General features: G+C 38.0%; 1 long non-coding RNA gene across 1 annotated transcript in view, besides 1 other annotated feature; it reads left to right on the forward strand.

Annotated features, from left to right (window-relative positions):
• KCNJ8-AS1 (KCNJ8 antisense RNA 1) overlaps window positions 1-20,871 on the forward strand; it is a 166,949-nt gene that overhangs the window by 113,827 nt on the left and 32,251 nt on the right. The window lies entirely within an intron of this gene.
• Window positions 19,278-19,327: an enhancer, noted in NCBI's record as "active region_6096". NCBI's record gives its function as "activates an Ori minimal core promoter by ATAC-STARR-seq in GM12878 lymphoblastoid cells {active_cell/tissue: GM12878}" and the evidence as "EXISTENCE:reporter gene assay evidence [ECO:0000049][PMID:35858748]".

The raw sequence follows: 20,871 nt of genomic DNA on the forward strand, positions 1-20,871 counted from the left end.
ATATATAAATATATGTCATAGTTGTTGCTTTTAAGAGGCAGACAGTTGTAGTAAGAGAGATATTCTCTAATACAAGCAGGGATGTGATTAGAATAGGAAAGGAAATTTTAAAATGTCATGGGAATTCAAATGAGAGATATTTAAGAGTAGGAGACTAAGGAAAAATCCATGGATTATTTGGCATCTGATCTAGGCTTTGTAAGCCTAGATATATTTAGGGTATACAGAAAAGCAGAGAAAAGACAGCCCACGTCAGCATTGATGAAGCCAAGTTGGCTACACAGCAGGATTGGACACTTGAGTTCAGTGCTCCCTGGGCAGGCGCTGTTACCACCTACTCTCAATACTTAATGAGATTTTCATGTACTCGTCACACCCATTCCCACCACTCCTGTACCCCCTCCCTTAAACTGGGGACTGCTAGAGGGCAAGGCTGTGACTTGTTCATCTTTGTAGCAAGGCCCTAGCACCATTTAAATTATAAATGGGCTCAAAAAATATTTTTGAATCAATGAATGAAAAATACAAAGTTGAAAAAGCATATTGGGGCCTTAAAAAATGCATAGACAGCCTTAAATGCTCAACAAAAGAAGCTGAGGAGTCCTCAGTATGTAGTGGTAAGCCATGGAAAGATTTTGATCAGAAAACTACACAATAAGAGCCTGTTTTAAGAGGATTGATCCAGAAGCAGAGAATATAATGGCTTTAAGGGTTGCATTTCTTGAGTATAGTCCCTCTGGGCTCCAAAATTCTGTAACTGGCAGAAGAGGGTGCTGGAAACTGTTACATTAATTAGAGAAGGAATGAGGTCTTGGGCTAATAGGTAACATCAGTGGGCACTATACAAATACATACAAAAGGAATGTTATACAGAGTCAATATTGGAAAAGGGAAAAGTCAGAGGTGACTGTGATGTTTATCATAGTAACAGAAAAATAATAAGAAAATTGGAATGAGAAGAGCTGAAGTACTGTGGAGAATTTATGAGAAGATTTGCAACAAAAAAATCCATATCTGAATTCTCTGAAAATTCTGTTCTTTTGGTATAATACATATTTCAGACTCTTTTTTTTCATTGAGATGTATTCTTCCAAATACGCAATTTTAAATCGTTTCAACTTGCTTTCATAACAGAATGTCATATTTTTATTAGTCAGTAATTTAACTTGATTGATTCAAAATCAGGGCACATAATAAAGATCAAATTTGAAGAAATTAATAAGTAAATGTTTGACAATAGTAGGCCTAAGAACAAATAGTAATCATTTTAAATGGTAAAGAATGTGTGCTATAAGAATATTACAGATATATATTTTTCTTTGTATTCCCTTTCTACATTGTTTCCTTAAGCAGTGTATGTCTTTGTCCTTCAACTAGTTTTTCTGCACTAAGTGGAAGCTGCATGAGAGCACATTGTTTAATATCACCACACACCCAGGGTCTCAAATTGTTCCGAGATCCCAAGAGTAGGTACTCAATAAATACTTGTCAAATGAAAAGAAGTAGGAATAGTGTTCAAAACATGGTATTTCTCTCTCTTGCATTTTCTCTCTCATCTCTCTCTACCCTTCATGGTTTTGCAACTATTTCTCAGAACCCACATAGGAAATGTGAACTTTTGGAATTCACTTTGAAGTCTGTTTCTATAGCTGTCTACAAAAATTTTCTTATTCTCACTTTTCTCTTTACTATATTGCTCTACCTTTAAATCAAGCTTGTCCAACACGTGGCCCGCGAGCTGCATGCAACCCAGGAGAGCTTTGAATGCTGCCCAACACAAATTCGTAAACTTTCTTAAAATTATGAGATTTTTTTGTGATTTTTAGCTTATCAGCTATCGTTAGTGTTATTGTACATTATGTGTGACCCAAGACAATTCTTCTTCCAATATGGCCCAGGGAAGCCAAAAGATTGGACACTCCTGCAAAATTATCCATTTCTCCCTTCTTTAGCAACTTCCCTAACTTCCCTAATTGCTCTAAGTCAGCAATACTTAAACTTGTCTGGCATTTGCTAGCTAAGTTTCTCTTTACAACTTGATTTTAAGCTTAACTGACATATACCTCTATCCCCCAAAAGTCTTTCTGGACACATAGTAACTGCTCAATAAATATTTATTATTGACTGACCTCTAGCTCTCCCTCATATTATGGTCCAAACAGTGAACATTTAAATTTGCCTCTGGCTGAGAAATTGGCAAAAAAAAATCAATTAATTTTCAAGAGCACATTTACTACTTAGGGCTTATTTTATTCATCTGCTTATTCAATCACTATATGCTGTTGTCCACTAAAAGTTAGGTATATTTTCTTAACTGTTCAATAATTTTCTTAATTGTTCTTTCAGGAGTGAAGACTAATTTGCACACTACCAGAGGATATCAGTAATAAGTTTAGAACACAGCTAATTTTATTTACTATTATAATTTTCTTGAGTATGCAGGAATCCTGTTAGAATTTACTCATGTTGCAGAAATTTATGCAATTAAAAAGCAATTAAAAGATTTTGGTTCAGTTGTAAGTCAGCATCTGCCAGGTTCCTTTTAGACCCTATGAGCATTTTTCTTTGGGTTTCTGACATTCTCATTCTCTTAAGAAACAAAGCTTGTCAAGTGCCTTTAGACAAGTAGAGAAAATATTAGGTTGATGCTTTTCCTAATTGTCTGCTGCTTTGATTACCAAATGCAAATCAGTGAAGTTTCTGAAAGTACCCTTGAGAGCAAGGGTGAAATTCTTCCAGTTGTTGACTTTGCCTTTGACATGACTTGTAGACTTCAAACTCTTGGATTTCCTGAGCCATATTAGACTTAAAAATTTGGAGGGTCTTCAAAATGGCAATGGAAACGAGTCATGTTAGCTGAACAAATAATGGTTGGTCTATTTGCTTAGTATGCTGCTTTACTAGTGTCCTCGTATAAACCACTTTGGAACATATTGCTTTGGAATCAACTTAATAAAATTGTTACATAAACTAGTAATCAAAACAGCATGTTATAAACTTACTTTTTTGGAGTTATCATGGAATGGGAATGACAGTATAACTCTTCTCAGTTATTTGTTCCAGTGAATTCGGAGAACATTTCTTTTTGAGATATGTATCTATTTATGTGCAGAAAAGCATCACTCTGTTTTAAATAAGGTCACCCCATTTCTTCTTTGCAAGCTCAGCTCCTCATACTTTAGCAAGCTCACAGGTGTGAATCAGAAAGGTCAGGAAAGGAGGCACTCACAACAATAACTACCCTTTGATTTGCATCTAGGTGAGCAAAACAACATCCCTGCTCCAAGGCATTCTTGGGGAGAAAGCTGTTAGCAAACAAGTAATACATTACATAATTATTAATAGTGGTAAAATATATAAAGAAAATAAATTGAGATAAGGATCAAAAGTAACTAGGGCCAGAGATGACAGTTTTAGATAGGGTTCAAAAAAGACCTCTTTAAAACAGTGACATTTGAATAAAGAATCAACTGTATGATCAACTTGGGAAAGAGTGCTTCAGGCAGCCCAAGAGCAAGTGTAAAAGCTTTGAGGCAGGAAATAGTTTGATGTGCTTGAAGAACAATAAGAAAATCAGTATAGCAGATGGATAAGAGGAAAGGCAGAAGAAGAGCTGGGAAAACTGGGAAGTGCCTTCACTGTTCTCTCCATTTACCCAATGAATAAGGATTGGGAGTCTGCCAGGTAACTAGGTTATGAAAATCACTGACCCTAATCCTTGAGACAGTTGCATGAAAATTAGGTTATTTTTCTCATTTTGCACACGAATTGATTAGAATTTAGCAAAATGACTTTCCAAAGTCACTTACCAAGCAAGTAGAAAGCTATGACAGACTCAGAACATCTGATTCCAAATCCTGTGCTTTTCTTACTAGACAATATCTCAAGGAGATGATTGTCCAACTATGGTCCAGCTGCACGAGAAACACCTGGTAATATGATTTCATGCCCCACCAGACTTCTATTGAGCAAGGATAGAATAAGAAGTATGATCTTTGGCCCAGAAATTAAAATATCTTTAATGAAAAGGTATAAACACTTCTAATAAAATAAAGCACATTTAAAAGTTATCCTGGAGATTCTCTTGCCCAGCCAGGTATTAGAACCTCATAGAATTATTTTTAGGGCAAGATGAGATAATATAAGATGCTTAGGATAGTTCCTGGCCTGTGATAAGTACTTAATAAATATCAACTCATTAATATCTTAGGGCTGGTTTTAGTTTGGTGATGGTCAAGAAGGTCTCAGAGCAGGCTGTGGGGGTAGGAAGGAAAAGCTACAGCTCACAGATTTATTTTATCATTTTATAGACCTGAATATTTTTGAGATCTTACCAACCCTCAGAGTGCTATTATAACTAACCAATACTTGTACTACCGTCTCCTCAACTCTTGAACTTAATTAAGACACTGGGGACTAAAAAGGAGCCAACCAAGATACTGGTAATAAAATAAGGACTCAGAAATCAACACATGTGTTTTACTGTAATAGTGTTTCCAAGAGAAAAGTAGTTCCTTCCATCAAAGAAAGAGTACCCATGCTGATTATGTTCTACTGGTAGGCTACAAAATACTAATTATAAATAAAGCTAGTAGGCCCTCTCCCAAGAGAAGATGAGAAATAGTGGCTGTCACTGTTGATTTTTTTCAGGGCCTGAAATTATGCTTTCATGTTCTCATGCCAAAGAAAGGTAAGTTCGCGTGAGCCTGGGATCTGTCCTGCCATAGGAATTCTTCACAGGAACTCTTCACAGGATTTCTGAAACTCAGGGAAAAAGCAATTCCCAAGGATCACCTGATCCATTGCTATGCTTTCATGTCATTATGTTTTGCCAAAATTAGTGACTCACGCAATGCTTGGAAAGAGAAACCTGACATTTTCCAGAACTCTCTGTAGAGCAGGTCCTTATTGCCACCTTTCAAAACTGTCAGCTATAGAAAGGATTATAGAGGTTGAAAGTTTTAAAGTGATATTTAGACTTGTTGGGCCCAATGAAGCCAGGATATTTTTTCTGCTGTTAAATGATTTTTTTTTAAGGTAAAAATGTTCTGTGCCAGAAAAACTTTCACCAGGTCATTTTTTCTAAACAAGTTCACACTGGAATTACATGTTTGAGAGTTGTGTCTAATTTAAAATGTCAAATTACCTCATTTTTTGTTAGAATTGATGGGATAATAAAATGATCTCCTCTTGAAATTTATTATGGATTTGAAAGTCAATCTTTCTTTAAAAAATTGAGAAATTATGGGAGATGCATGAGCTATAGTATAACCTTCCATTTAAGTTCACAGAGGTTTACAGTCAGAAAGACGAGATCAGGTGCCAGTTCTGCCATTTACTTGGTTGATGACTTTGAATAACATACTTAACGACTCTGAGCCTCAATCTCCTCTTCTGCGAAATGGACTAACATCTACCTCTCAGAGTTGTATAGATTAAATGAGTTGAGTATGTAAAGGATTTAGCACAGGCCCAGGACACCTAAAACTACATATATATATATATTTTTTGTTGTTATTGTTGTTGTTGTTTTCTGAGATGGAGTCTTGCTCTGTCGCCCAGGCTGGAGTGCAGTGGCGCGATCTCAACTCACTGCAACCTCTGCCTCCCAGGTTCAAGCAATTCTCCTGCCTCAGCCTCCCAAGTAGCTGGAATTATAGGCACCTGCCACCAAGTCTGGCTAATTTCTGTATTTTTTTTTAGTAGAGACGGGGTTTCACCATGTTGGCCAGGCTGATCCGCCTGCCTTGTCCTCCTAAAGTGCTGGGATTACAGGCATGAGCCACCTCGCCTGGCCCTAAAACAATATTTTTAAAAATAATTATAACTTGGATACAGCATCCTTAATAATTAGGATGTAATTCATTATTTATTATTTTATTTTTTCTTAGCCTGAATTTGTTAGTATTGTTAGATTATTGATAAACAAAAATGGTGATAACAGGCATGCTTTCTCTTCTTAGTGATTTTAATAAAATGCTTCCAGAATATATAATTTATATATTTATCACTTTAAGGTGGTATGTTTTTACTACTTTTCTGTTTTTTAAATCAGTGATGGATAAAGAATTACACAAAATGCCTTTTTAGCATCTACCAAGTTTATCTATTTTTTTCTTCTTTGACCAGTTAATATGGTGAATTAAGTCACTAGATTAAAAAAAATTAAACTATTTTTACATTCCTGAGGTTAAACTCCAATTGGTCACTGTGAACTGTTATTTTAATATAATGCTGGATCATGTTTGTTAAACAATTTACTTAGGACTTTTGCATAAATATTTGTGAATGAGATTGGTCTGTATTATTTTTTTCTGTGTTTTCTCTGTCTGGTTTTGGGTAAATGTTATGAGTCTTTGTAAAAAGAATTGGTGTGTATTCTTTCTCCATCGGTTGAAATAATGTATATAGAGTAGGGATTAGCTGCTTCTTGAAAGCTTAGAATAATTTTGAAATCATCTGAGTCTGAATTTCTTTATTATTATTATTATACTTTAAGTTCTGGGATACATGTACAGAACGTGCAGGTTTGTTACATAGGCATACACATGCCTTGGTGGTTTTGCTGCACTCATCAACCCGTCATCTACACATTAGGTATTTCTCCTAATGCTATCCCTCCCCTAACCGCCACCCCCTGACAGGCCCCAGTGTGTGATGTTGCCCTCTCTGTGTCCATGTGTTCTCATTGTCCAACTCCCACTTATGAGTGAGAACATGCGGTGTTTGGTTTTCTGTTCGTGTGTTAGTTTGCTGAGAATGATGGTTTGCAGCTTCATCCATTTCTCTGCAAAGGACATGAACTCATCCTTTTTGATGGCTGCATAGTATTCCATGGTGTATATGTGCCATATTTTCTCTATCCAGTCTATCATTGATGGGCATTTGGGTTGGTTCCAAGTCTTTGCTATTGTGAACAGTGCTGCAATAAACATATGTGTGCATGTGTCTTTATAGTAGAATGATTTATAATCCTTTGGGTCTATACCCAGTAATGGGATTGCTGGGTCAATGGTATTTCTGGATCTAGATCCTTGAGGAATCACCACACTGTCTTCCACAATGGTTGAACTAATTTACACTCCCACCAACAGTGTAAAAGCATTCCTATTTCTCCACATCCTCTCCAGCATCTGTTGTTTCCTGACTTTATAATGATCACCATTCTAACTGGCATGAGATGGTATCTCATTGTGGTTTTGATTTTCATTTCTGTAATGACCAGTGATGATGAGCTTTTTTTCATATGTTTATTGGCTGCATAAATGTCTTCTTTTGGGAATAGTTTTTGGCTCTTTGAACCCTCCTCATTTTCTCTTTCTCTCCTCTGAGATCCCTAGTTCAGACCTTTTCATTTTATCCTCCATATCTTCTGGTTGTTCTTCCATGGTTTTTATCTACTTATTCTGCACTGCATTCTAGATCTGTTTCCAATGGAAATAATTCTCTCATCATCTAAGCTTAATTATGGTTTGATATATCCACTGAATTTTAATAATAATTTTAGAGGTTTTTTTCCTAGAAGTTCTATTTTTTTTAACCACCTTTTAAAAACCTATATGTACAACTAATTAACTACCACATGGATCAGATATTAAGATATAAAGCATATCTATCACCATAGAAGATTTCTTTCTGCCCTTTTTAGACTGTAATTGCTCCCTAGCAGAGCTCACCTTTTTATGGCATTTCATCAGCAGTTTGTTTTGTTTGTTGTTGAGCTTTGTATGCATGGAATAACACAGTAGGTACTCTTTAGTACCTGCTTCTTTCACTCAACAGAGTGTCTGTGAAATGTGGCCAGGTTGTTTTATATTCCAGTAATAGTATTTCATTTTGTGAATATAACACCATTTATTTATCCATTCTCCTATTGACAGGCATATGGGTTATTTATGTTTGTTTGACTATTATAAATTTGACTATTATAAATAAAGCTGCTATGGAACATTTCTGTACAAGATCTATTGTGGGCATAAGCATTCATTTCACCTGGATATATGCCCTAGCATGAAATTGTTGGGTCCTGGTATAGGTACCTATTTAGCCTTAGTAGAAACTGCCAGTATTCCATACTGGTTGTGCCATGCACGCTCCCTTCTGCAGTTATATGAGAGTTCCAACCTCACCCCACTTGGTATTGCCAGTCCTTGTCATTTCAGCCATTTTAGGGGATAGTTTTTTAAATTTGCATTCCCAGTGAGGAATGATGTTGAACACATTTTCACATGCTTACTGGCAAACATACATACTTTAAAACTTCTTATAGATTGTTTTATAATGATTTCTAGTTATTGTGCTAATATTCCTATTGGTTGTGTCTGGGTTCCAATCTTGGTATGTGTTTTCTCATGTGGTTTTAATTTTGAATGTGAGTTAATTTTCTTGTTTTTTTTTCCTCCCTATGGGATCTAGATTGTACCCCAGCAGACTGATTTTGGATTTTCCCTTTCCAGGACCTCTAGGGTATCAATATTCTGGAGCTATTTTTATTCAATTTCTTATCTTGAATATACGATCTCACCTTTGCAAAGTTGGATAGTCAATTTGTTTTTAGAGGAAATAAAACACTTATTCTGTGATTTTAAAAATCTCATGTAGTGCTCATTAAGGTATGGTCAATGTAGTGGGCTCTCATACTAACATTCCGTATTGGAATGTGCTTTTCAAGTTATAAAGTTATTTTCCCATCATTTTATTTGAGATTAATAAAAACTCAGTGAGGCCAACAGGGTAGTTATTGTCATGTCTTTTGGTTTTCCTTTTGCAAATGAGGAAATGGGGACCCAGCCTTTAAATGATAAATCCAAGGCCATATATTCAATTGATAGAATCAAGACTAGAAGTCAGGTCTCCTGGTCCATTTCTCTTTTCAATAGTATTCTACATAGATTCACATAATTATTCTTTATTATATGTCACATACTGTATTAGTCAGGGTTCTTTAGAGAACAGAGCTATTAGGATAGATGTATATATAAAGGGGAGTTTGTTAAGGACTATTAACTCACACAATCACAAGGTGAGGTTCCACAATAGGCCATGTGCAAGCTGAGGAGCAAGGAGCCAGTCCAAGTCCCAAAGCTGGAGAAACTGGAGTCCAGTGTTCGAGGGCAGGAAGCATCCAGCACGGGAGAAAGATGTAGGCTGGGAGGCTAATCCAGTCCAGTCTTTTCACATTTCTCTGCCTGCTTTATATTCTGGCTGTGCTAACAACTGATTAGATGGTGCCCACCCAGGTTAAGGGTGGGTCTACCTTTCCCAACCCACTGACTCAGATGTTAATTTCCTTTGGCAACACCCTCAGACATACCCAGGAATAATACTTTGCATCCTTCAATCCAGTCAAGTTGACACTCAGTATTAACACATACAGTATAAATCATTTATTCCCAAAACAAATAATTGACTTCACTAAATTAATCTTTATTCTAGTATAGCACACGACTAAGAGTGTGGCCTTGAAGTTGGATTGCTTGAGTTTGCCTCTGAGTTCTGCTAAACCTTGCTCAAGTTAGCCTTTATGAATCTCAATTATTAAATGGAAATAATAATATCTACCTCAGGGAAATTTTTTCAAGATCAAAAGAGATTATACTTGTAAGGCTTATATCATATCTGCTCAATGTATGTTAGCTATTATTACCCTTACAGCAAATTTTTAATTAGATGGTATATGCAATAAACATTCTACTGATATCTCAATTGATTTCATGTTGCTCTTCTCTTCTTTTCCCCAGTGATTTTTCCTCTTTCATATTGTTTGATACAAAATGATACCAGCATCACAGAGACTATAATGATATTTAAATCATAAATCAGTATGTCATCTCTATGCTTTATTGGCATATGTAGCTAAGCTTTATTAAAATATTATTTAAGCCAAGAATTTCCCATGAAATATTAGGCTTTCTATTTTTTTCCCCTACATTTTTGGCCAAAGGCCTGGATGCCTTGTGTTTCCAATATAATGTTTTTGTTACATTGAATATATGCTGGAAGTTCAGTCAAGTGGGAATAAAGAAGAGACGCTCCTATTTTCTAGTGAAAACTTGTCACCCCAAATCACTGCCTTTTGCCGTCTTCTCCTTCCTGTTTGCCAAGGACATAGGAATTGTGCTGCCTGGGCCAAGTGCTTGGCACATATAAGTGTCCACAAGTGATAGGTCACTGGGAAAAATGGCTGCTTCTGTCCAAAATGTGCTTGTAATGATCATATGTGTTAGGGATAGTGCAATTCTGTAGTGGTGGTGGTAGGGTGTTACTGCTTGTTTTGAGTGGGAAGTTGTGAGAAAATGTCTCGTAAGCTATGTGTTATGCAGTAATTCCCATAGAGAAATGAAACTTGGGCTTAAAAAGTCAATATTTGGAGTCTTATGGCAAGAGATTTTGTTTTGTTTTCATGTTTTAAAAGAAAAGTACAGCCTTCTTTAGACTTTCCCTTTCTCTGGAACAAAGATAGGTTGAGAGAACATGAGACGAAAGGCCAAGGGTTTTAGACAACAGCTCATTTTAGTGCTTATGTGATAGAGGAAAGGTTTTTCCTCTCTCAATCTCTTTTTTTTTTCCCTCAAAGGAAAATAATCAGTAGCCAGCCCAGTCTCATTAGTCTTTTTTTGGAACTACTGGTTGTGATTTGTGTTTGCCTTCTTGCTTTCACATCACTCTCTAGACTGTGCTAGTTTCTCCTCATTACTCCCAACCGGCATATACTACCTGACAACAGCTTCTTAGGTCAGAGGTAGACTCCTGACCCAAAGTGATGTGTAATGCACAGTTGTCTTTGTCATGTATAAGATTAAAAGATGAGCTGCACAAGGTAGATTCTTTGCTTGATACTTTGAAATAGACAATCTGAGAAATGGAGATAGTTGTGGACTGAGAAGCCAGAAGATTTAGTCTTAGGGATAGGAATGGTTCATAAAGGTGAGAAAGAAGTAGGCAGGGATAAGAATGGGGCAGAAGAAAAACGAGAAACTAGAGACAGGGAGTTGGAATTGAGGGAGTGGACTGTCCCTAGACAGGTCCCAGTCCTCACTTTCCCTGAGATCTCATAATTCTGCTTTTCCTAGATTCCAGTGCAGATATAACATTTCAATACCAACCTCCTCTCCACACCTACCCCATGCTGTTTAAAAGGATAGTTTCTAGAGTCAGATGGTCAGAATTTAAATCAGTGATTTGGGGATAAATCATTTAAATCCTAGCCTCAGTTTCTCATCTGTAAAGCAAGTATAATAAAGATACTTATTTCTTAAGATTTTATATTATTTTAAATATACTACATAGCTATGCACTACACCAACAAATAATATCCCTGAATTATATTTTGTTACTCAAAGATGAACACAGCAGATATTCAACAAATTATCAATCAAGATGAAATAACCAAAGTTTATTTTCACACAGCATCCCCTAGTAGGGAGACAACCACTTTTCATAGATGCCCAGTTCAACAGCTTTCATGACAATCATTATCATCCTTTCATTGAACTAAAAAGAGCCTCTTCACTGTAACCCAGCAAGATGTTGCCAGTGCTATCTTAAAGGGTAGTTTAAAAAGAAAGGTTGGCCGAGTGCGGTGGCTCACGCCTGTAATCCCAGCACTTTGGGAGGGATTACACCCAAGGCGGGTGGATTACCTGAGGTCAGGAGTTTGAGACCAACCTGGCCAACATGGCGAAACCCCATCTCTACTAAAAATACAAAAATTAGCTGGGTATGGTGGCACATGCCTGTAGTCCCAGCTACTTGGGAGGCTGAGGCAGGAGAATTATTTGAACCTGGGAGGCTGAGGTTGCAGTGAGCTGAGATCGTGCCATTGCACTCCAGCCTGGGCGACAGAGCAAGACTCTGTCTCAAAATACATAAATAAAATAAAGAAGAAGGGCTGAATCTCATATCACTGGAAACACATTTTATGATCTATTTAGAAGTGAAATTTCTTTCTAAGGTGATTTAGGTCTGAAAGATACACTTACAGATTACTGTAAGAATATTTCTCTTTATGCCATCTATTTTAACTACCTGCATTTATCTATGCATTAGTGATATAAAGTTTCATACCAACTATAGCCTTATTTAAGGCAGCAAGTTAAGCTAAAATGTGAGTGTATATGTGTGTGCATGCAGTGCACACACACGTACTGAGGGGTTGGAGGATAGGTTTAGGTTGTAACCTATAAAATAGATTTAACAGACAGTTTAATTGATTCAAATAGCTGGAAATTCTGTTTACGTCCAAGTTCAAATAACTGATGAACATTTTGGCTGTCTGAAAAAGTTTAAGAATTTTAAAAATTACTTTTTACTTCATGAGTGTTGAAACAGAAAACTCAAACTACTGTGAGTCAAGGAGCTGGCCTAGATATCAAAGAGCTGGCCTAAATCCACTTGGCTCTGATAATATTAAAGGTCAATGGCCTTTCACTTAATAATAACTGATAATGTTGTATAAACAGTACATACTTTAATCATTCTTTTAGAGAAAGATGGGAATGAAATAGCATTAAGCTACTGCATCAAAGTTGCACTGTTGATATATACGAACGAGTTACTTATTTTTTTTTAGTTGATATCTTTCTTTTATTTATTTATTTTTTTAGAGATAGAGTCTTGTTCTGGAGTCCAGGCACCATTATGGCTCACTGCAGTCTCTAACTCCTGCGCTCAAGGGATCCTTTTGCCTGAGCTGCCTGAATAGCTGGAACTACAGGTGTGCACCACCCAGCCCAGCTAATTTTTTATTTAAAAATTTTTATTTTCGTAGAGACAAGGTCTTGCCTTTTTGCCTAGGTTAGTCTTGAACTTCTGGTTTCGAGCAATCCTTCCACTGCAGCCTCCCAAAGTGCTACGACTGTAGATATGAGCCACCGTGCTTGGCCTAGTTAATGTCACTTACACTCACTGTCACATTGCAGTATTGTAGATTTACATTTCCAACTATAAAATATGAAAATATCTCCTTTATAGTACACTCTTCAATTTTGAATATGATTTTTAAGTTTTGCAATTTGGTAGGTAAAAAGTGAATAATCAAACAATAAAACATAAAAAATCCCACCAAAAGCTGAATTGTGTTTGTATTTTGAATAAATGCAACTTCTTATAGCATTAAGCAACTCAATTATTTTGGACTTCAAAACTTACATTTGTCTCTATGCAGTAGAGAGGACCTGAAAAGAAGCATTGAGGAATGAACAAAAAGTGAACCCTCAGTGGTCGTTTGTACCTTTTAGGTGGTTAGAAAATAATGTTTCTTGCTACTTCCCTCAAATCTCCCAGTCCATAGTAGTTGTGGTAGCTTGCCTGCAAAATGGCTGCCATCAATTCCTTCAATTCCTGCATGTGCTTACTATTCTCCCATTAAGAGGTGGAAACTATTTCTCCACCATCTTTTTTTTCATTGTACACTGATGACCTTTAATTCTTTTTTTTTTACTTTAAGTTCTAGGATACATGTGCAGAACATGCAGATTTTTTCACATAGATATGTGTGCCATGGTGGTTTGCTGCACCCATCAACACCTCATCTACATTAGGTATTTCTCCTAATGCTATCCCTCCCCTAACCCCCACCCCCCAACAGGCCCTGGTGTGTGATGTTCCCCTTCCTGTGTCCATGTGTTCTCATCGTCCAGCTCCCACTTATGAGTGAGAACATGCAGTGTTTGGTTTTCTGTTCTTGTGTTAGTTTGCTGAGAATGATGGTTTCCAGCTTCACCCACGTCCCTGCAAAGGACATGAACTCATCCTTTTTGATGGCTGCATAGTATTCCATGGTGTATATGTGCCAAATTTTCTTTATCCAGTCTATCATTGATGGGCATTTGGGTTGGTTCCAAGTCTTTGCTATTGTGAACAGTGCTGCAATAAACATACGGGTGCATGTGTCTTTATAGTAGAACGATTTATAATCTCTTGGGTATATACCCATTAATGGGATTGCTGGGTCAAATGGTATTTCTGGATCTAGATCCTTAAGGAATCACCACGTTGTTGTCTGCAATGGTTGAACTAATTTACACTCCCACCAACAGTGTAAAAGCATTCCTATTTCTCCACATCCTCTCCAGCATCTGTTGTTTCCTTTTTAATTATTGCCATTCTAACTGGCATGAGATGCTATGGCCTTGTCATTTTGAGTTGCATTTCTCTAATCACTAGTGATGATGACCTTTTTTTCATGTTTGTTGGCCACGTAAATGTCTTCTTTTGAGAAGTGTCTGTTCATATCCTTTGCCCACTTTTTGATAGGGTTGTTTGTTTTTTTCTTGTACATTTGTTTAAGTTCCTTGTAGATTCTGGATATTAGCCCTTTGTCAGAGGGATAGATTGCAAAATTTTTCTCCCATTCTGTAGGTTGCCTGTTTACTCTGATGATAGTTTCTTTTGCTGTGCAGAAGCTCTTAAGTTTAATTAGATCCCATTTGTCTATTTTGGCTTTTGCTGCCATTGCTTTTGGTGTTTTAGTCATGAAGTCTTTGCCCATGCCTATGTCCTGAATGGTATCGCCTAGGTTTTCTTCTAGGATTTTTATGGTTTTAGATCTTACGTGTAAGTCTTTAATCCATCTTGAGTTAATTTTTTTATAAGGTGTAAGGAAGGGATCCAGTTTCAGTTTTCTGCATATGGCTAACCAGTTTTCCCACCACCATTTATTAAATAGGGAATCCTTCCCCATTTCTTGTTTTCGTCAGGTTTGTCAAGGATCAGATGGTTGTAGATGTGTGGCATTATTTCTGAGGCCTCTGTTCTGTTCCATTGGTCTATATCTGTTTTGGTACCAGTACCTTGCTGTTCTGGTTACTGTAGCCTTGTAGTATAGTGTGAAGACAGGTAGTGTGATGCCTACAGCTTTGTTCTTTTTGCTTAAGATTGTCTTAGCTATACGAGCTTTTTTTTTGTTGGTTTCATATGAACTTTAAAGTAGTTTTTTCTAATTCTGTGAAGAAAGTCAATGGTAGCTTGATAGGGATGGCATTGAATCTATAAATTACCTTGGGCAGTATGGTTATTTTCACGATATTGATTCTTCCTATCCATGAGCATGGAATGTTTTTCCATTTGTTTGTGTCCTCTCTTATTTCTTTTAGCAGCGGTTTGTAGTTCTCCTTGAAGAAGTCCTTCACATCCCTTGTAAGTTGTGTTCCTAGGTGTTTTATTCTCTTTGCAGCAATTGTGAATGGGAGTTCACTCATGATTTGGCTCTCTGTTTGCCTATTATTGGTGTGTAGGAATGTTTGTGATTTTTGCACATTGATTTTGTATCCTGCAACTTTGTTGAAGTTGCTTATCAGCTTAAGAAGATTTTGGGCTGAGATGATGGGGTTTTCTAAATATACAATCAGGTCATCTGCAAGCAGAAGCAATTTTATTTTCTCTCTTCCTATTTAAATACCATTTATTTCTTTCTCTTGCCTGATTGCCCTGGCCAGAATTTCCAATACTGTATTGAATAGGAGTGGTGAGAGAGGGCATCCTTGTCTTGTGCAAGTTTTCAAAGGGAATGCTTCCAGCTTTTGCCCATTCAGTATGATATTGGCTGTGGGTTTGTCATAAATAGGTCTTACTGTTCTGAGATACATTCCTTCAATACATAGTTTATTGAGAGTTTTTAGCATGAAAGGGTATTGAATTTTATTGAAGGCCTTTTCTGCATCTATTGAGATAATTATGTGGTTTTTGTCATTGGTTCTGTTTATTTGATGGATCATGTTTATTGATGTACATATGTTGAACCAGCCCTGCATCCCAGGGATGAAGCTGACTTGATCGTGGTGGATAAGCTTTTTGATGTGCTGCTGGATTCGGTTTGCCAGATTTTATTGAGGATTTTCACATTGATGTTCATCAGGGATATTGGCCTGAAATTTTCTTTTTTTGTTGTGTCTCTGCCAGGTTTTGATATCAGGATGATGCTGGTCTCATAAAATGAGTTAGGGAGGAGTCCCTCTTTTTCTATTATTTGGAATACTTTCAGAAGGAATGGTACCAGCTCCTCTTTGCACGTCTGGTAGAATTCAGCTGTGAATCTGTCTGGTCCTGGGCTTTTTTTGGTTGGTAGGCTATTAATTCCTGCCTCATTTCAGAACTTTTTATTGGTCTATTCAGGGATTCATCTTCTTCCTGGTTTAGTCTTGGGAGGGTATTTGTGTCCAGGAATTTATCCATTTCTTCTAGATTTTCTAGTTTATTTGTGTAGAAGTGTTTATAGTATTCTCTGATGGTAGTTTGTATTTCTGTGGGATCAGTGATGATATCCCCTTTATCATTTTTTATTGTGTCTATTTGATTCTTCTCTCCTTTCTTCTTCATTAGCTGGCTAGTGGTCTATTTTGTTAATCTTTTCAAAAAACCAGCTCCTGGATTCATTGATTTTTTTGAAGGGTTTTTTGTGTCTCTATCTCCTTCAGTTCTGCTCTGATCTTAGTTATTTCTTGTCTTCTGCTAGCTTTTGAATTTTTTTGCTCTTGCTTCTCTGGTTCTTTTAATTGTGATGTTAGGGTGTCAATTTTAGATCTTTCCTGCTTTCTCTTGTGGGCATTTAGTGCTATCAGTTTCCCTCTAAACACTGCTTTAGCTGTGTCCCAGGGATTCTGGTACGTTGTGTCATCATTCTCATTGGTTTCAAAGAACTCATTTATTTCTACCTTAATTTTGTTATTTACCTAGTAGTCATTCAGGAGCAGGTTGTTTAGTTTCCATGTAGTTGTGTGGTTTTGAGTGAGTTTCCTAATCCTGAGTTGTAATTTTATTGCACTGTGGTCTGGGAGACTGTTTGTTATGATTTCCATTCTTCTGCATTTGCTGCGGAGTGTTTTACTTCTAATTAAGTGCTCAATTTTAGGATAAGTGTGATGTAATGCTGAGAAGAATGTATATTCTGTTGATTTGGGGTGGAGAGTTCTGTAGATGTCTATTACGTCTGCTTGGTCCAGAGCTGAGTTCAAGTCCTGAATATTCTTGTTAATTTTCTGTCTTGTTGATCTAGTATTGACAGTGGGGTGTTAAAGTCTCCCACTATTATTGTGTGGGAGTCTAACTCGCTTTGTAGGTCTCTAAGAACTTACTTTGTGAATCTGGGTGCTCCTGTATTTGGTGCATATATATATAGTTAGGATAGTTAGCTCTTCATGTTGCATTGATCCCTTTACCATCATGTAATGCCCTTCTTTATCTTTTTTTAATCTTTTTTGGTTTAAAGTCTGTTTTATCAGAGACGAAGGTTGCAACCCTTGCTTTTTTCCTTTCAATTTGCTTGGTAAATATTCCTCCATCCCTTTATTTTGAGCCTATGTGTGTCTTTGCACGTGAAATGGGTCTCCTAAATACAGCACACTGATGGGTCTTGACTCTTCATCCAATTTGCCAGTCTATGTCTTTTAATTGGGGCATTTAGCCTGTTTACATTTACGGTTAATATTGTTATGTGTGAATTTGATCCTGTCATTATGATGCTAGCTGGTTATTTTGGCTGTTAGTTGATGCAGTTTCTTCATACTGTCAATGGTCTTTACAATTTGGTATGTTTTTGAAGTGGCTGGTACTGGTTTTTCCTTTCCATATTTAGTGGTTCCTTCAGGAGCTCTTGTAAGGCAGGCCTGGTAGTGACAAAATCTCTCAGCATGTGCTTGTCTGTAAAGGATTTTATTTCTCCTTTGCTTATGAGGCTTAGTTTGGCTGGATATGAAATTCTGGGTTGTTTTTCCTTAAGAATGTTGAATATTGCCCCCCACTCTCTTCTGGCTTGTAGGGTTTCTGCAGAGAGATCCGCTGTTTGTCTGATGGGCTTCCCTTTGTGGGTAACCCAACCTTTCTCTCTGGCTGCCCTTAACATTTTTTCCTTCATTTCAACCTTGGTTCAATCTGATGATTATGTGTCTTGGGGTTGCTCTTCTCAAGGAGTATCTTTGTGGTGTTCTCTGTATTTCCTGAATTTGAATGTTGGCCTGTCTTTCTAGGTCGGGCAAGTTCTCCTGGATAATACCTTGAAGAGTGTTTTCTAACTTGGTTCCATTCTCCCTGTCACTTTCAGGTACACTAATCAAATGTAGGTTTGGTATTTTCACGTAGTCCCATATTTCTTGGAGGCTTTGCTCATTCCTTTTCATTCTTTTTTCTCTAATCTTGTATTCACACTTTATTTCATTATGTTCATCTTCAATCTCTGATATCCTTTCTTCCGCTTGATCAGTTCAGCTATTGATACTTGTGTATGTTTCACGAAGTTCTCTTGTGTGTTTTTCAGCTCCATTAAGTCATTTATGTTCTCTAAACTGGTTATTCTAGTTAGCCATTCGTCTAACCTTTTTTCAAGGTTCTTAGCTTCCTTGCATTTTGTTGGAACATGCTCCTTTAGCTCGGAGGAGTTTGTTATTACCCACCTTCTGAAGCCTACTTCTGTCGATTCGTCAAACTCATTCTCTGTCCGTCCAGTTTTGTTCCCTTGCTGGTGAGGAATTGTGATCCTTTGGAGGAAAAGAGACGTTCTGGATTTTGGAATTTTCAGCCTTTTTGTGCTGTTTTTTCCTCATCTTCGTGGATTTATCTACCTTTGGTATTTGATGTTGGTGACCTGCAGATGGGGTTTCTTTGTGGACATCCTTTTTGTTGATGTTGATGCTTTTGCTTTCTGTTTGTTAGTTTTCCTTTTAACAGTCAGGCCCCTCAGCTGCAGTCTGCTGAAGTTTGGTGGAGGTCCACTCCAGACCCTGTTTGCCTGGGTATCACCAGTGGAGGCTGCAGGACAGCAAAGAATGCTGCCTGTTCCTTTCTCTGGAAGCTTCATCCCAGAGGGGCACCACCAGATGCCAGCTGCAGCTCTCCTGTATGAGGTGTCTGTTGACCCCTGCTGGGAGGTGTCTCCCAGTCAGGAGGCACAGGGGTCAGGGACCCATTTGAGGAGGCAGTCTGTCTCTTAGCAGAGCCCGAGCGCTGTGCTGGAAGATCCACTGCTCTCTTCAGAGCTGGCAGGCAGGAACGTTTAAGTCTGCTGAAGCTGTGTGACAGCTGCCCCTTCCCCCAGGTGCTCTGTCCCAGGGAGATGGGAGTTTTATCTATAAGCCCCTGACTGGAGCTGCTGCCTTTCTTTCAGAGATGCCCTGCCCAGAAAGGAGGAATCTAGAGAGGCAGTCTGGCTACAGAGGCTTTGCTGAACTGTGGTGGGCTCCGCCCAGTTGGAACTTTCCAGCAGCTTTGTTTACACTGTGAGGGGAAAACCACCTACTCAAGCCTCAGTAATGGTGGACGCCCCTCCTCCCACCAAGCTGGAGTGTCCCAGCTCAACTTCAGACTGCTGTGCTGGCAGCGAGAATTTCAAGCCAGTGGATCTTAGCTTGCTGGGCTCTGTGGGGCCGGGATCTGCTAAGCTAGACCATTTGGCTCCCTGGCTTCAGCCCCCTTTCCAGGGAAGTGAACAGTTCTGTCTCACTGGCGTTCCAGGCACCACTGGGGTATGATAAAAAAAAACTCCTGTAGCTAAGCTTGGTGTCTGCCCAAACGGCTGCCCAGTTTTGTGCTTGAAACCCAGGGCCCTGGTGGCATAGGCACCCGAGGGAATCTCCTGGTTTGCACGTTGCGAAGACCATGGGAAAAGCATAGTATATGGGCCGAAGTGCACCATCCCTCACGGCATGGTCCCTCATGGCTTCCCTTGGCTGGGGAGGGAGTTCCCCCACCCCTTGAGCTTCCCTGGTGAGGTGACGCCCCACCCTTCTTTGGCTTGCCCTCTGTAGGCCGCACCCACCGTCTAACTAGTCTCAATGAAATGAACCAGGAACTTCACTTGGAAATGCAGAAATCATCCCCCTTCTGTATTGATCTTGCTGGGAGCTGCAGACCGGAGCTGTTCCTATTTGGCCATCTTGCCAGCCACCAAGCTACTTATTTTACACAGTGGGCAGATTAGCAAAAATAATGGCCTGAAAACGAAACTCTTGGTCATGAATATGGAGTGTGTAATTGGTGATGGTCTGTGATGGTTGGTGGCACTGAGTCATAGAGTCCATTCCTTATGGCTAATTAACTTATTTAGCCAGATATGGCTCCCTTTATCTTTGTCATTTTAGAAGTAGGGCACTGGTGACCATAGTGTGACTGGCTAAGGGCAATTTGCTACTGTCCATAGGAAAAAAATAACTTAAATCCCATTTATTAGATATGTAAAATGAATATATCAGCCTTTATATATCAGCAATGATGAGACTTGCAAAAAACATAAGATGGGAAAGAGAATAATCATCACAGATAATTTACCTTCCTTCCATATTGTGAAACATCAATAGTGAAATCTCAAATTGGTCACATACACATACAATTAATGTTTGAAACACTTTGCATCTTTGTGGAAAAAGTTTTATCTTCAGATCCTTTGTTGCTGATTACACAACAAAACTAAAGAAAATAAGTCTTTGAGTCCCTGTTGTGGTAACTTCTCAGCTAAGATTCAGTTCGTTAAACAATGTTTCCTTTATGATGAACTAAGGCAATTAATTCCGTGACATCGAGAGGCTTGTTTTAGCAATTCAGGATAAGGCAATGTCAGCAGGGAAAGGAAGCATGTGAAAATTACCTTTAGTATTTTATGATTCTATGTTCAGCACAACAAAGGGAAACTAGTGTAATGATTGATGTAGCTCAGTGATTCCCAAACTTGGTTAATTATGTATCTCATTTGTCGGCACTTACTAGAAATACCGATACAAGCTCTTTCACTGGAGAATTTGATCCAGGTGAATCCTGTTAATACTTAAGATAATCTGATATAAATGATATGTAGTTACTGAAGAACAAATTAAACATAAAGTACAGGATACATCCCCTTGGCTATTGCTTCTTATGCCAAATAGCTAAGATTAGAAGACTGCATCT

This window comes from Homo sapiens, chromosome 12 (genome assembly GCF_000001405.40).
Source record: "Homo sapiens chromosome 12, GRCh38.p14 Primary Assembly".
Classification (NCBI taxonomy): domain Eukaryota; kingdom Metazoa; phylum Chordata; class Mammalia; order Primates; family Hominidae; genus Homo; species Homo sapiens.